The 14,320-nt window shown below is 36.8% G+C and overlaps 1 long non-coding RNA gene across 1 annotated transcript in view; it reads left to right on the plus strand.

The window, feature by feature from the left end:
* The window catches only part of LINC01031 (long intergenic non-protein coding RNA 1031), a 61,209-nt gene that overhangs the window by 34,186 nt on the left and 12,703 nt on the right, over window positions 1–14,320 (plus strand). The window contains exons 2-3 of the long non-coding RNA NR_125789.1: window positions 10,203–10,345; window positions 12,174–12,309. This is a non-coding gene — a long non-coding RNA (long intergenic non-protein coding RNA 1031). The remainder of the gene's footprint in view (window positions 1–10,202; window positions 10,346–12,173; window positions 12,310–14,320) is intronic.

Here is a 14,320-nt window from a genome sequence, read left to right on the forward strand (position 1 = left end):
TTATAGTATTCTTCACAGTAAATCGTAATAATCAGTTAGTTGTTTCTAAATCCCTTTTGACTGCATGGGGGCATGAAGGCATTTCCCTGTCTTATATCTAGCTCTATGCACTTTACACATAAATATCTTGAGAAATGAATACATAAATGAAATAATTAAAGAAAAGGAACATATTGGAATGGAAATTAGAAACTCAGATTTTGCGAAAGCTCCATTTTTGGGGAGGTTTTAATTTTTAATTTTTGGTGAAAATATAAGGTGTTTAGTTTAAAATTTTTATTTTTATTTTAGTATACATTCAAGGGGTACATGTGCTGGTTTGTGACATGGGTATATTGCATAATACTAAGATTTGGGATTCTAGTGAACCCATCACCCAAATAGTGAACACAGTGCCCAACAGGTAGGTTTTCAACCCTTGCCACCCTTCCATCCCTCCTGGGGAGGCCTTTAAATGGTTATTTTCCTTTACTAAATTTTGTCATAAATCATCGATATTTTGGGTTCGGTTAATTCAACATTAATTAAATGTTTACATTGGAAAATATATAATTTTCATTGGAAAGGCAGAGGAAAGCCCTAGCTGACTGCGTCAGGCAGTTGGAATTTCAGAAGCAGGTCAATAGGGCAGGGGGGAGATGAAATCTGGAGCTTATCTGCTCTAAATTCTGTTAAACCATTACTCAGGACAGGACTCTGGAAAGATATTAATGCACTAATGCATTCCAGAAGAGTGGTGACAGTGGCTGTATGCCACTTTATGTCACACAGTTTACATTTTAATCTATGATCAGGTAAGCTCTATTTTGCCAAGTAAGATGATTTGAACCAGCTTATAAAGAGAATTGTGGTAAGATGACGTACAAAGCTAACATTATAAGTAGTCTGCTTTTCTTTTTGAAATAAATGTGGTAAACATATTGAAAAGAAAAGTGTTTTTTGAGACAGAGCTGCTCTGTTGCCCAGGCTGGAGTGCAGTGGTGCTATCTCGACTCACTGCAACCTCTGCCTTCTGGGTTCAAGCAACTCTTTTGCCTCAGCTTCCTGAGTAACTGGGGTTACAGGCATGCACCACCACGCCCGGCTAATTTTTGGATTTTTATAGAGACAGGGTTTCACCATGTTGGTCTTGAACCCCTGACATCAGGTGATCCACCCACCTCATCCTCCCAAAGTGCTGGGATTATAGGTGTGAGCCACCGCGTCTGGCCTGAAAAGAAAAGTTAAAGGAATTCTGGACCTATCTAATCATCCATAAGCAGAAAGGGATTTAATGTAATTATTTTGCATTCCTCAATATTAAACTATCTAATAAACCCACTTATTCCCTCATTTATTTATTGCTTCATGCACATTCATTTTTTATGTAAATACTACATGCCAAGTATGGTACAAGGTCTTGAATACATACAGATGAATAAGACATATTCTTTCCCCACAAAGGCCTCACAAAAAGCTGTAATATACCTTGAAATGTGTAAGTACTTAGATATAGCAAAGTGCAATAAAAACCCAAAGAAGGAATGTTTAGTTTCCTTGGAAATGTACCTGGGGGAGGTGCCTTATTAATTGGGACTTAAAAAACAAGGTCAAAGATTTTTACAGAAATAAGGTAGTAGAGTTGATATAAAGAAGTACTGTAATGAAGAGGGGAGAAAGGCCTTTCACTCATAGGAACAGCAGAAAGAAAATCATGGAACTAAGGTCTTAGAAGATAAAATGGTGATAAAGCTAATGTAAAGTAAATCAGTCTTCTAACATATGCACTAAAGTCCTTTGGTAATTAATATTTTGCTAGTGCTTCAGTGCAGTATGTGGCTTTGGATGATTGCGTATAACTTTATGGTAGGGTAGGGTAGTTTTGTTTTTTTTTTGATGGAGTCTTGCTCTGTCGCCCAGGCTAGAGTGCAGTGGTGCGATCTCGGCTCACTGCAAATTCCACCTCCTGGGTTCAAGTGATTCTCCTGCTTCAGCTTCCCGAGTAGCTGGGATTACAGATGCCTGCCACCGCGCCTGGCTAGTTTTTGTATTTTTTTAGTAGAGACGGTGTTTCACCAATTTGGCCAGGCTGGTCTCGAACTCCTGACCTCATGATCCAACTGCCTCCACCCTCAAAGTGCTGGGATCACAGGTGTGAACCACCGCGCCCAGCCATTTTGTTCTTTCTTATTACCAATGATTTAAAGAGTAGTATAAAGCAACCTATGTTATGCAGCTAAGCTTGAGGGTACAACTGCTAATTTGGAGGCTTTAGCTTGTAGACATGTTTTATTTGTCCAGCACAATCAATTAAAATTTGAGTTTGAATGTACTTACCCAGTTTGTAACAATATTCTCACCTCTTTATTGGCCTTCATGTGTTATATCACAGACTTAGGTTTTCTTGCTGGCATTTTAGTGAGCAATCCTTAATCTAGACGCTGGTTTTATAATCATTTGCAAAACTTTCCAACATAAAACTCAGTATGAATAAATAATTGGATTAAAGTTGATTTCAGAAATTGTACTGTTTTGTGTTATGATTGAATCTGGGAACATTTTGTTACTTTGAACAGCATAATAAACAGTGTTGGTTTTAATGGGTGGATTATTGGGCATTAGTCCAAATTATCCAGCTAGAAGAGTTTAAATTACAAAGGCCTAGAAATTAGCTTGAGCATATGCCTCAGTGGCGACCTTAGGAATGCAGAGTTACTGAAGTTGGCAAAGAAATTGTTGTGTTGCACAGTATCATGCTTGTAGAAAAGAAAACAGTGATGATAAAACAATTATAAAACAGAGTTATTGCAAGGGAACCATTTTACTTGGTAAAAACAAAATAAAAAGCCATCCAATTTTTGAGTGAGGGAGATCTTGGAACACAGTTTCCAGAGGGGCAGTGAGTGTGAATTCAGTAGTCTCCATTGCTTTCTCCCAGAATTGTACTTTTCCCCTCAATTTCTGTAATTTTGTCTCTGTACTGATGAACTAGCTCAGTCCCCAGGGATGTTTCTTTCTCCTTAGGAAACTCTAGCCTCTATTTGGATGGAGTTCCTTTGTGGTTTCTCGTTAAGCATACCTGAGACAGAGAAATATTTACAAGTAATTTGATTACATATTAAGGGCACTTTCTTGCTCTCTCTGTCTCTCTTTAAGTTTATATAAAACTTAAACAGCACAGTCTTTAACATTTTTTTCAGCACAATTTTATTTTATTTTATTGTGGTAAGAAGACTTAACATGAGATCTACACTCTGAATAAACTTTGATCCTCAAATAACCCACTGTTGCCTCCAAGCTCTGACACAATCCACCTGGCTCCTGCTGAGCTCCTTTTTACCTGTATCCTTACCAGAATTACCAGACACCTCAGTCTCTGCCCTTGTAGGGTCCTCTCTGAGGACCAATCACTTTGCTGCTGACTTCCAAGAAGTTCTCTAATATCCCATCTGGTAGGGATCTTGACTCTTGTAAAACACTTTCCTTTTAAATCAGTAAGTCTATTTCCTTTCAATCTTGGGACCATTCTCTCCGTCTCAAAGTAGGAGGAGAGTCTTCTTTTTCAGTAGATTGGCATCCTGATATTAATATCTCCGGCACATAATGATGGAGACTTTTTGGTTTATAGATGACTAGCCACACCGATTTTTGAAGATCTCTAAAATTCATTCATTCAAAAGAGACTGTTTCTTCTTCTCCCATAGGGGTAGGACTTTATTCATTTTGGGATTACTGTAGTTCCTAATCATACAGTAGAGCAAGCATTCATGAAATAATAGAAGGTTCTACTTTTGGCCATTTTCATCAAGAAATATATCCCATCAGCACAATTTCCTGTTTCTGCTGCCACTACTGTGGCCCAGTTGACAGTACTTGGTAAGTGAATGTGATTGTGCTCCTCTGCTGGCACAAAGCTCTAGACAGATTGTACAAAATATCCGTCAAAGCAGTTGAAGTGAGGTGTTCCTCCTAAACTGCTACTGAAACTGTTGGCACTTGCTGGACTCTCCTGTTTCTGCAGAAGCTGCTGGTGACTCCCATTTGTGTGTGTGTGAGTGTGTGCGTGCGTGTGCGCACGTGCGCACCCGAGCGCGCAACCATGCACACCCGGGCGCCCGCCCATGCACACCCTTGTTTGAATTCAGGGAAGAATAGCTAAATAAATCATTACACTGAAAATCGATGAACAGTATCTATTAGTGTTTAAGTCCTTGCCTGGCAGGTGTCCCTTTATAAACTGTCAATAAGCTACATAAAAGTACATAGAAGGTGCTTCTGATGAGAGGTAGTTTTTTTTTTTTTTGTAAACATGGATTTTGTATTAAAAGTATTATATTCACTGTAAAAAAAGCACTCTAGTGTTTCTGCCTTTACTTAAAATGTTTTAGAGACTTCTTTGTAGAAATTACCTTCAGAGCTTTAAGCAAAGTTTTCTGCATATTGTCGATAATGGTAATTTTTCATTATTTATGATTGGGTTTGATTTTGCACCCAGTCAAAAATTATTTGGTGTGAACTCTGGTAAATAAAGTGGCTGATCATGCTAGGTCTTATAATTTTGGAGAAGAGAATAAAATTGGGTGTCATGAAAAATAATGAGATTTTCTTATGTAACTCAAGCTGGCTACCTGAGATCTTTCTCTTCTTATCTATATAACTGAAGAAGAAATGATTGTGTGAATATTGGCATGATATTGCTAAGTGTCTGAAAAGCCTCTGACAATTTGTTTCTTAACCAGAAGATTCAAACATTAAACTTTTTTATAAAAAAGTGAGCAAAACCTCTTTTTTCTACAAGGTGCTTTACTGTAACTCCTACCATGAGATTATATGTTTTGTGAAAGAAGGGACAATATCTTTTTTGTCACTTATATATCTCTCATGCCTCCCATGCTGCATGACACATAGTGGCATATTCAATACATATTTGTTGTGTTAATAAAACGTAAACACACCAACTTTCCTCTTCAATCAACATTGACCCTACCGTTGGTGAAAGCAGTGATAGCAAGATAACTTTTAGACAATTATGAATTGCAAATGACATGTAAGTAAGATTACACTATTAAATACAGATTATTTCTGCTTATATTACTATTAGGTTGGTGCAAAAGTAATGGCAAAACCACAATTACTTTTGCACCAACGTAATATATTGAAGAAGATAATGAGAATTATTTAATAATGATTATCTAAGATTATTTAGATTTTGGTATGGCCTCAGTAGAAAATATAGAGCAAATATTCATATAAATTATGATGATTTCCAAGAGTAATTTTGCTCCTCTACTGAGCAGGCAGAATGATCTAAAAGTTGGTCCGAACTCTCCAATCTTTACTCCAAAGTCTCTACTGGCTTCACCTGTACTAAGGTAGGTTCACTCCAAGGGGCTTTGGGCTGGCTCGTCCTGTTGCCTGGAATCCTCTTCCCTTAGATACCTGCCCAGCTATATTGTTTATTGTTTGTAGCTCTTGCTACAAATGATAGGATTTTACAAGATTTTTTTTCTAATTGTCATTGGTTTTATGAGTTTTTTTTTTTTTTTTTCAGGAGAAACGAAGTTTCATTTTGAAGTAACATAATTTGATATAGAATTAACTACGGTAAAAAATCCAGAAATGATATTAATAGACAGATAATTCTGTTGAAGTCACCACAGGTAGATTTAAAAGCTCATCTTCACTTTACAGAATTTCATGCCTTTCCAATGAAAGGAAAGTAAATGCAGAAACATGATGATTTTCTAATCTCACTTATTAGTGTTGGTTGATTATTGAACATTTTGGTTTCGGTTTTTAAGTACATTAATATTAGAAAGGGACAGATTAATAGCCCTTCAAAACTACTGTCAACTTCTCTTTACTTTGTTATCAATTAAGCATGCATTCAATTCCATATTCCTACAGCAACATTTGATTAATACACGTCTTCTAAGAGCAATGCTTCAGTGTTATTTTAAGACTGGTATACTGAGCCAGAAGTAAATTAAAAAAATTATCTCAGTAGTTGCAGCTGAAAAATGGTGAATGCAGAGAGGTTTGCCACAGGACAAATATTTAGTCAACAGAAATTTCTTATTTCTGGTTGTGTCTGGGGATAGTAGGAAAATGGAGGAAGTTTGCAAAAGATCTTGTGGAAAATATATCTTTTTGATTTTTTAAGTAAATATGAACTTTAAAATGAAAATACCAATATATACCCTTAAGTGCAGATTTTACTTCACAAAGATATATGATTTTATTTAAGTGGGACATTTGAGTTTTATTTAATTCCTTTATACACTCCTTCATTATCACTCCATTTCCAATCAAGTTACAAGTTTCTATTACAATGATTGAAATCTGATTCCAGTTTTTAAAATCCATGTCACTAATGTGGATTAAGCTATGGAAAACCTGTGCCGGCCGGGCACAGTGCTCATGTCTGTAATTCCAGCACTTTGGGAGGCCAAGGCGGGCAGATCACGGGGTCAGGAGATCGAGACCATCCTGGCTAACACAGTGAAACCCCATCTCTAGTAAAAATACAAAAAAAAAAAAAAAAAAAATTAGCCAGGTGTGGTGGCGGGCACCTGTAGTTCCAGCTACTAGGGAGGCTGAGGCAGGAGAATGGCGTGAACCTGGGAGGCGGAGCTTGCAGTGAGCCGAGATGGCGCCACTGCACTCCAGCCTGGGCGACAGAGCGAGACTCCGTCTCGAAAAAAAAAAAAAAATCCTGTGCTAAAAAGATGTGTCACATTACAGTTTTATAGGAGCAGCTTTAGTACTGGGAATTGGAATAGGAGCTGTTTCAATACATTCTAATTTAATTTTTGACCAGGAAGGTAAATTTCAATGACTTTGGTTTGAGAGTTAAGCTGTAATTGGTACTATAGGTACACCAGTAATTTTTTTTTTTGCCAGTATTTTATCAAGGGGGAGATTTGTAGAAGATTAGTAAGGTCAGAGAAGTTTAATTTTTGAATTAATTGTATCAAGTGTATGGCATTAAGATAATGGTTGTTTGCAACTTAACTTTGGAAGGGGATCATCATTTATTAGTCCTTTTTGGTATTGAAATTTTCTATTTTTTATAAAAGCATTATCATATAAATCAAATAGGAATCTCACAGCTTTTTTGTTATATCTTTCAGAATATTACTCTTCTATTTTAAGCTTACAGTAAAAATGTGATTTCAGAGTCCCAGTGTTGCAGTACTCAACTATGTAGTTCTTCCTGAGGTAGATGAAATGTTAGGATCAGATTTGTATCAACTTCCAGATTATTGGTTTTCCTCTCACTTTCTTCTTTGACTTTGGAAAAACAGCTGGCAAGGTTGATTTGAGACCTTTTATGACTTCTCTCACTCACAGACTCAACTATTTTAGCACTGACCTTTGTCTCTCTCTCAGGGATAGAGATAACTTGATACTACTAGTCACAGAGAATGAAATTGAACATCAAGGGGAGAGACAAGTAAACTAGAGAGAAGCAATACCAGTGAATTTTAAGGCAAAAAAGAATGGAAATTCCCTGTGGGTATTTTCACACAGAATCAGGTTATAAAAGCAGATAAAAATGTTTTATTGTTTTAGTTTCTTTGTCTGAAGACATAAAAAGAGCAGCAGATATGGGGAGGGAGGATGGGCCATAAAGTCTTACTTGAAAAAGAGCTCTGATAATCTTGTTAGGCTGAATTTAGACTGTTACAGAATGTCTTTTTTTCTTTTTTACCTCTTCTACTTGTAAATGCATTTATGAGTTCTTTCTGAATTTTGAGTATCTGTGTTTCACCTGAAAGCCTGCATCAGATAGAGCTGACAGATTGCCAGTTCTTTTGTCACCAAAACATTGTCCTTTTTCCACCCGTGTAACTATGTCTGCCAAAATTAAGGTATATTCACATGAAAGGAACTTGCTTATAAGTCATTATCAAGTGCATATGTGTTACCACCACGATTTGTTTTTATCATGATGTTCATAACTATCTGGCATATATGTGTTTATTTGTTTGCTTGTTATTTGTGTCCTCCCTTTGGATGGTAACTTTTATAAGGAAAAATATGCATCTTATGAATCTATATTCCATCAGTTAGAGCAGTGTCAGGTACACAGTGGCTGTTAGATGTTGGCTAAACAAATGGATAAATGAGTCATCTTAGGCAGATATTTTTCTGCAGTGAAATTGTGCCCTGTCTTGACTTTGCAGAAATTTCTCACCACTGTTTGGAGATATACACCTGTATGTCCAACTGCCTGCTTGACTTTTCCACTTGAATGTCTAGCAGGAATCTCACATGTCCACAATATTCCTCCTTATTTTTCAAACCAAGTCCATTCTTAGTCAGATATATGTCATAGACATCTCAAGTAAAGATGCAAGTAAAGGGTTACTCTCCCTGTGTATAATCCTACAAGTTTAGACAGCTCTACCTCCAAAAAAGTTGTTTAACCTATCTACTTTTTTTTCATCTTTTCATTTTCCACTTGGACAAGCTACTACTGTCTCTCATGTGGACCTCTGCAATGACCTCTAAGTGGTCTCTCTGTTTCTAGTCTTGCCATTCTACCATCTATTCTCCACGTAGCAGTTAAAGCGTTACTTAAAAATTATAAACCACTGTCGAGTGCCTTCCCTCTACCATTAGAATAAAATACAAACTCTTTATTATCGCCTTAAAGATTTCCATATTCCGGTTTCTGCCTTCTCTTCTACTTCATCTCATTCTACCTTTCTTACTAAACTCCAGGCACAATGACCTTCTTCCCATTCATCAACCAGGCCAAAGTCACATCTAAATCTAGGGCCTGTGGAACTTGCTATATCCTTTGTTTAGAATGCTCTGCTCCCTATCTTGTCATTGCCAGGTCATCTTGTCATTCAGAAATCAGCTCCAGTCTCCAAAGGGGTCCTCAGTCGTGCTTCATTACATTCTCTAATTTATTTTCTTTGTAGAACTTAAACTATATAAAATAACCACATAAACTTCTTTTCTAGAACAGAAGCTCCATGAGAGCTGAAAGCAAGGACTTTGTCTTTCTTATTCCCTGTCCTATTCCTAGGGCCTAGAACAGTGCCTGGCATATACTAGTAGGTGCTCAATAAAATATCATAAGTATAGACATATCAATGAATATGTAGAGATATGTATTCACAAAAGTTCAAAAGATAGCTAAAATATCCTTGCTGTTTTTGTTGAATATGAAAATGTTTTAGACTTGCTAAAACTATCAGTTGACATAGAGATAACGAAGGAAGCAAAAGACACATAGTTTTTTGAGCTCTAAGCTTATGGAGCAGAGGCAGAGGTGGGGAAAAGCCTGTATGTTCATGTGACTAGAGAAGCAATCCAGCGCGTGTAAGTGGTTTTGTTATTAGGATGGACGTGCCAGTCTCTCTATTACTGCGTCTTCCTGCCAGCTGCCATTTCTCTGAGACATTAGAGTGTCAACTTGAAAAGGCTATGTTCCATAAGTCTTACTTAAGGAGCCATCAATGCTTTTTCTTTTAAAAAGTGAGAGTTTCAATTAAGTTTTAGAAAGTAAGGTTATCTTTGAGTTGTAAATAATATGTTAACATTGTGCTGGATCCTAAAAAGCTAAGTACATTAACTTGGAATGTGCTGAGCTAGTGGTAAATTGATATCCAGCCTGCAGTTGCCAGAGGAGAATTTTTGTCTTGTCTTCACAAAGAAGACAAGAAGAGAAAATGCAAGGGAGTCTGGGTCAATTAATTGCCTACCAGAGCACTGCCCTATGTATTTCAAGCAGGGAAAACGGAAGAGGGCTGACTGGTTTACTCTGTAAGTAGATTCTTGCTGGGGGAGCTCAGTTTCAAAATCCTAGAAACCATATGTGTCAGTTTAATCAGAGTTTGGCCCGGAGGAGAATTAAAATGAAAGGAAATTCCACAATTAGAAGGTGTGGAAGTAGAAAGCAGACTAAATCAAGCTTTTAGAGAGGCAGTGTGGGCTGGTGAGATTACATTCTTAGGGTGTATAATAGGCCAAGGTTTTTATTTCCAGATTCTTTCACTTAAGAGCTTCTATGTCTGAATTCTAGTGGAATGGAGGCCTGTCTCAAGCTTTTTTTCTCCTCCATTGTAAGGGCCTCACCTTTGTCATTTTTACCTACAAATCCAAAAAGGGATAGTGCCAGGTTGGTGTGAGGTCTAAATAGAATTTTGTAGTAAAGGCCTGGACTAGAAGCTTCGCTTTAAAATAGTTTTCTTCTTCCTTTCCAGCATGTATTTCCTATTCTGTCTGGTTGGCTTGCTGCTTAAAAATCAGAATACAGAAGAGAAGACAGTCTTGTGGAGGGTCAAAGGAGCCACTGTTTGTAGTTATTTGGGATCTTTGAGGAAACCCCTGCTAAAATAACTTGATTGTAAGTTATGGATTGCTTATTGCTAATTAACATTGACATGTAACTGTGTGCATGGAATGTGGCCCAATTAAGTGGAATGGAGCTAGGGCAGAGCCTGGCTGCATTCCCAGTATGATGGAGAGAATGAAGAGTTTAGGAACTGAGTTTAGAAGTTTTGAGGATGAAAATATTTTTAGTCTTAGGAAACCCAGCACTCAAAACCTTGTGAGAGGAACATATAAAAAAAAAAAGCAGCACGCAACAAAAGACCCAACATCCCACCAATCAGCAATTAGAAAATGGTCTAGAAATGGTTTTATTATTCACATATATGCCGGCTTCCTCTACCCCCTTTAGGAACTTTATTCCAGTGTTCATTTCTTTTACCACCTTCTCTATTTTCCTAACAATATAGGACTAGCCCTTCAATTTGCAAATGATTTAAAGTGTTCCATTTTCAAGGTACTGGGGATAAAAAGATGAATACACCAATCTGCACCTTAAGGAATTTAATCTAGGCAGGTAAAAATACATGTAAACAAATTGAATTTTATACAGCATTTTAAGTATAGTAATATAAGTATGCTCAAGGGATAGAGACAGCATTGATTAAGAAAACTGCTTAAACTCATGTGAAGTGGGTGAGGTGTTAAGAATGAGATCTTTAAATGCATTTAGGAAGAGAACTGTCGAAGCACTAACCAGCTGACTGATTGCTGTATTATATTTGGCATGATTTTCTTTATTTATTAGAGGATGGAAAGGCTACTTTAGTCTAGATTTGTTCTATTCATTTCTTAGACATAGCCTTGTTAAGGAAAATATGGAATTAATGATAATGTTGTATTTATGTAACTTCAAAATGTTAACTAGAAGATAAGCTTTTAAAAAAGAATGCCGGGGATATAAAATAAGTCCTTTTTTGACACAATAAGTAAAAATGATAATCGACTTGGTTTTTTACATGGTTGGTCAGCTTCCATTCTTGTTTGTACATAAGTCTTCTCTTTTGATCTATAATCAGAATGTGTTTTTAAAATGTACCAATCTATGATACAATTTATTTTTAAAATGGACTTAAACCAGGTCTTCAGTGAGATGAATTTGTTCGTCTAAGCGACTTCGAACTCTAATTTTTATGTAGTACTTTGACTACATAAGCAGGGAGTTATCTGAGAGTGGTATAATGAAACAAAAATGATTATTAGATTATCTTAAATCAAAACTATGTGTTAATTCATGTTGAAATTAGAAGAATTTGAAGCGAGTTCTTCTTTTTCCTTTTATGCTGTAATGTCTTCAGTTTAAATTATGTTATTCAAAGGGTACTGGAGCTTTCATAAATTATTCATTTGCAAAGATTTAGCTATTTCAAGCCACTTCCCCCGAAACAGAAGGGGTTGAGCAAAATGGTTTCTTTTTGCCAAAGCATTCATAAATATCCCTTTGCCTTACTTCCGCAACTAATTTGGGTGTATGTTAGTTTAAGGGACACGTATTTCCCACTATCAGGTTTTCTCATTTAATAGTTCCCCTTTCTAAAACAATTTGGGAATGAGCTTTTTCTCATTCTGATTATCACACAAATTCAGAACTGAGAGAAGAATTAATAATATATATCTGGGGATTTCAGCAACTCTGGAATCTTTCTATGCAAGCTAGTCTTTTCCTTAACATTTGCCATGTCATGTGTTTCAGGAGAAGCAATAGCTGTTTTCTTTTTATGTCTGCCTCTATAGGTATCTATAGCAATATGACTATCCTCTGAGATATTCTTGTTCATGTATTTTTGTTACTGTTAGGATGACTAGAAATCAATTACAACAATTTCTAAACTTTGTATTTCTAGGGAGATTTTCCTTAGTCTGGACCAAACCTTCCCATTATTGGACACAGATGGTCAGCTAGTAATCAATCATCTATAATTATGCTTTGGAAAAACCTCATGAGCAAAGACCCTCGACTTGTAGTCAAAGCTACAATTTGTAAGTAATTATGCAAAATTTATATTCTGCAATCTCTTTGAAAGATTAACTCTGTGATTGAAAGATTGCTTCCCTTCCTGAGACAAGTATTATTTGGTATTATTAAAAGAAAAACTTCAGACAAATTAAATTTAACAGAGTTTAATTGAGAGAAAGAAAAAAGAACCAATTTACCAATTGGGCAGCCCTCAGAATCAGAACAGATTCAAAGACTCGGACTGCCACATGACTGGAGAGGATTTATGGACAGAAGAAGGAGAGTGGCATACAGGAAAGGAAAGTGGCATACAGGAAAGGAAGGTGAAGTACAGAAACAACTGGGTTGCTTACAGCTCAGTGTTTGCCTTGTTTGAACATGGTTTGGACAGTTAGCAGCCTATGAGCGGTTGAAGCTCAGCTGCTATGATTGGCTGAGACTCAGCTATTGTTACAGAGGTATACTCCTAAGTTAGGTTTTCAGTTTGCTTACCTACTAACTTAAGTTGCAGTTCCTACATAAGAACTCAAGTATGCTAGTACAGGGCTTTCTCACACCAGATTTTCCTTTGATTTAACCATACAAATGATATTATTTATTGCAATATTTTCAAGCCTTGTTGGGTTTCAAATTGTGAGTCATTTACCCTTTTCCTTTGCTTCCCCTTTCCGTGCTTCAAGTCCCCTAATTGCAGCTTCTGCCCTTGATTGACCTTGCGGTAAATAAGAATTAGAGAGAGGTGGAGGTGAAGAATCAGACTGTGGGACATTTCTATAAGAATGGGTTGAGGAGAGCCAAACTGGAAAAAGTAGTAGGTTCCTAAAGCAATGGCAAACAAAGCCAGAGAGCAAAGTAAGGAAGAGTAAATGGGTGATAAATGGAAGCAACAAATGCAGAAAACTAATCTTGCAAGAAATATGGTAATGAAGTTAAAGAGACCAAAGGGTAGTAGCTACGGAGTATATTAGAAAGAGGAAAGACTGTTTGAAGCTAGGACTTGAACATGTTTACCTAGAAGGAGAAGTGAGTGAAAATAGAGAGTTTGATGATACAAAAGAGAAAGCATCATTGTGAAAAAACTCTTGGAAGAGATACAAGAGGGGAGATCAAGAGCTCACATTAGCAAGGAAGCAGAACATCTTTTGAGAGACTACAATGAAGAAAGAAGTATGAAGATAGAGATTTTGGTGGCAATGGTGTTCAGTTGTTTGGTGAAACATCGGTCTAGATTTTGCTGTGAAGGTACTTTTAAAGATGAATCAACATTCAAAGTAGTAGACCCTGAGTAAAGCAGATGACTTAAGGTGAGTGGGCCTCATCCAATCAGTTGATGGCTTTAAGAGCGTAGACCGAGGTCCCCGGAGAAAGAAGGAATAGAAGGAATTCTATTTCTAGACTGCCTTTGGGTTTCAGGCTGCAACATCAGCTCTTCCCTGAGTCTCTGGCCTGCCCTGCAAATTTTGAACTTGCTAGCCCCACAATTGCTTTAGGCAATTCCTTAAAATAAATCTCTCTCTCTCTCTCTCTACATATATACACACACACACACACACACACACACACACACACACATGCACATACACATACATACATACTTTATATATACATATATATACACATACATACTTTATATATACATATATATATGTATATACACACACACACGCACACATACAAGAGGGGAGATCAAGAGCTCACATTAGCAAAAAAGCAGAACATCTTTTGAGAGACTACAATTAAGAAAGAAGTATGAAGATAGAGATTTTGATGGCTATGGTGTTCAGTTGTTTGGTGAAACACCAGTCTGGATTTTGCTGTGAAGGTACTTTTAAAGATGAATCAACATTCAAAGTAGTAGACCCTGAGTCGACCCATATATACGTGTCCTATTGCTTCTGTTTCTGTGGGGAATCCTGACTAATGCAGAGGTTCAGGATGAAGTGGAAGGATTTTGAAGATGCTCAGGTTAGCCATATCAACCTTTTGGTTAAATGAGAGACTAACATATGTGATGAAAATGAGGAGTGGGCTTAA

Source organism: Homo sapiens, chromosome 1 (genome assembly GCF_000001405.40).
Source record: "Homo sapiens chromosome 1, GRCh38.p14 Primary Assembly".
NCBI classification, from domain to species: Eukaryota; Metazoa; Chordata; class Mammalia; order Primates; family Hominidae; genus Homo; species Homo sapiens.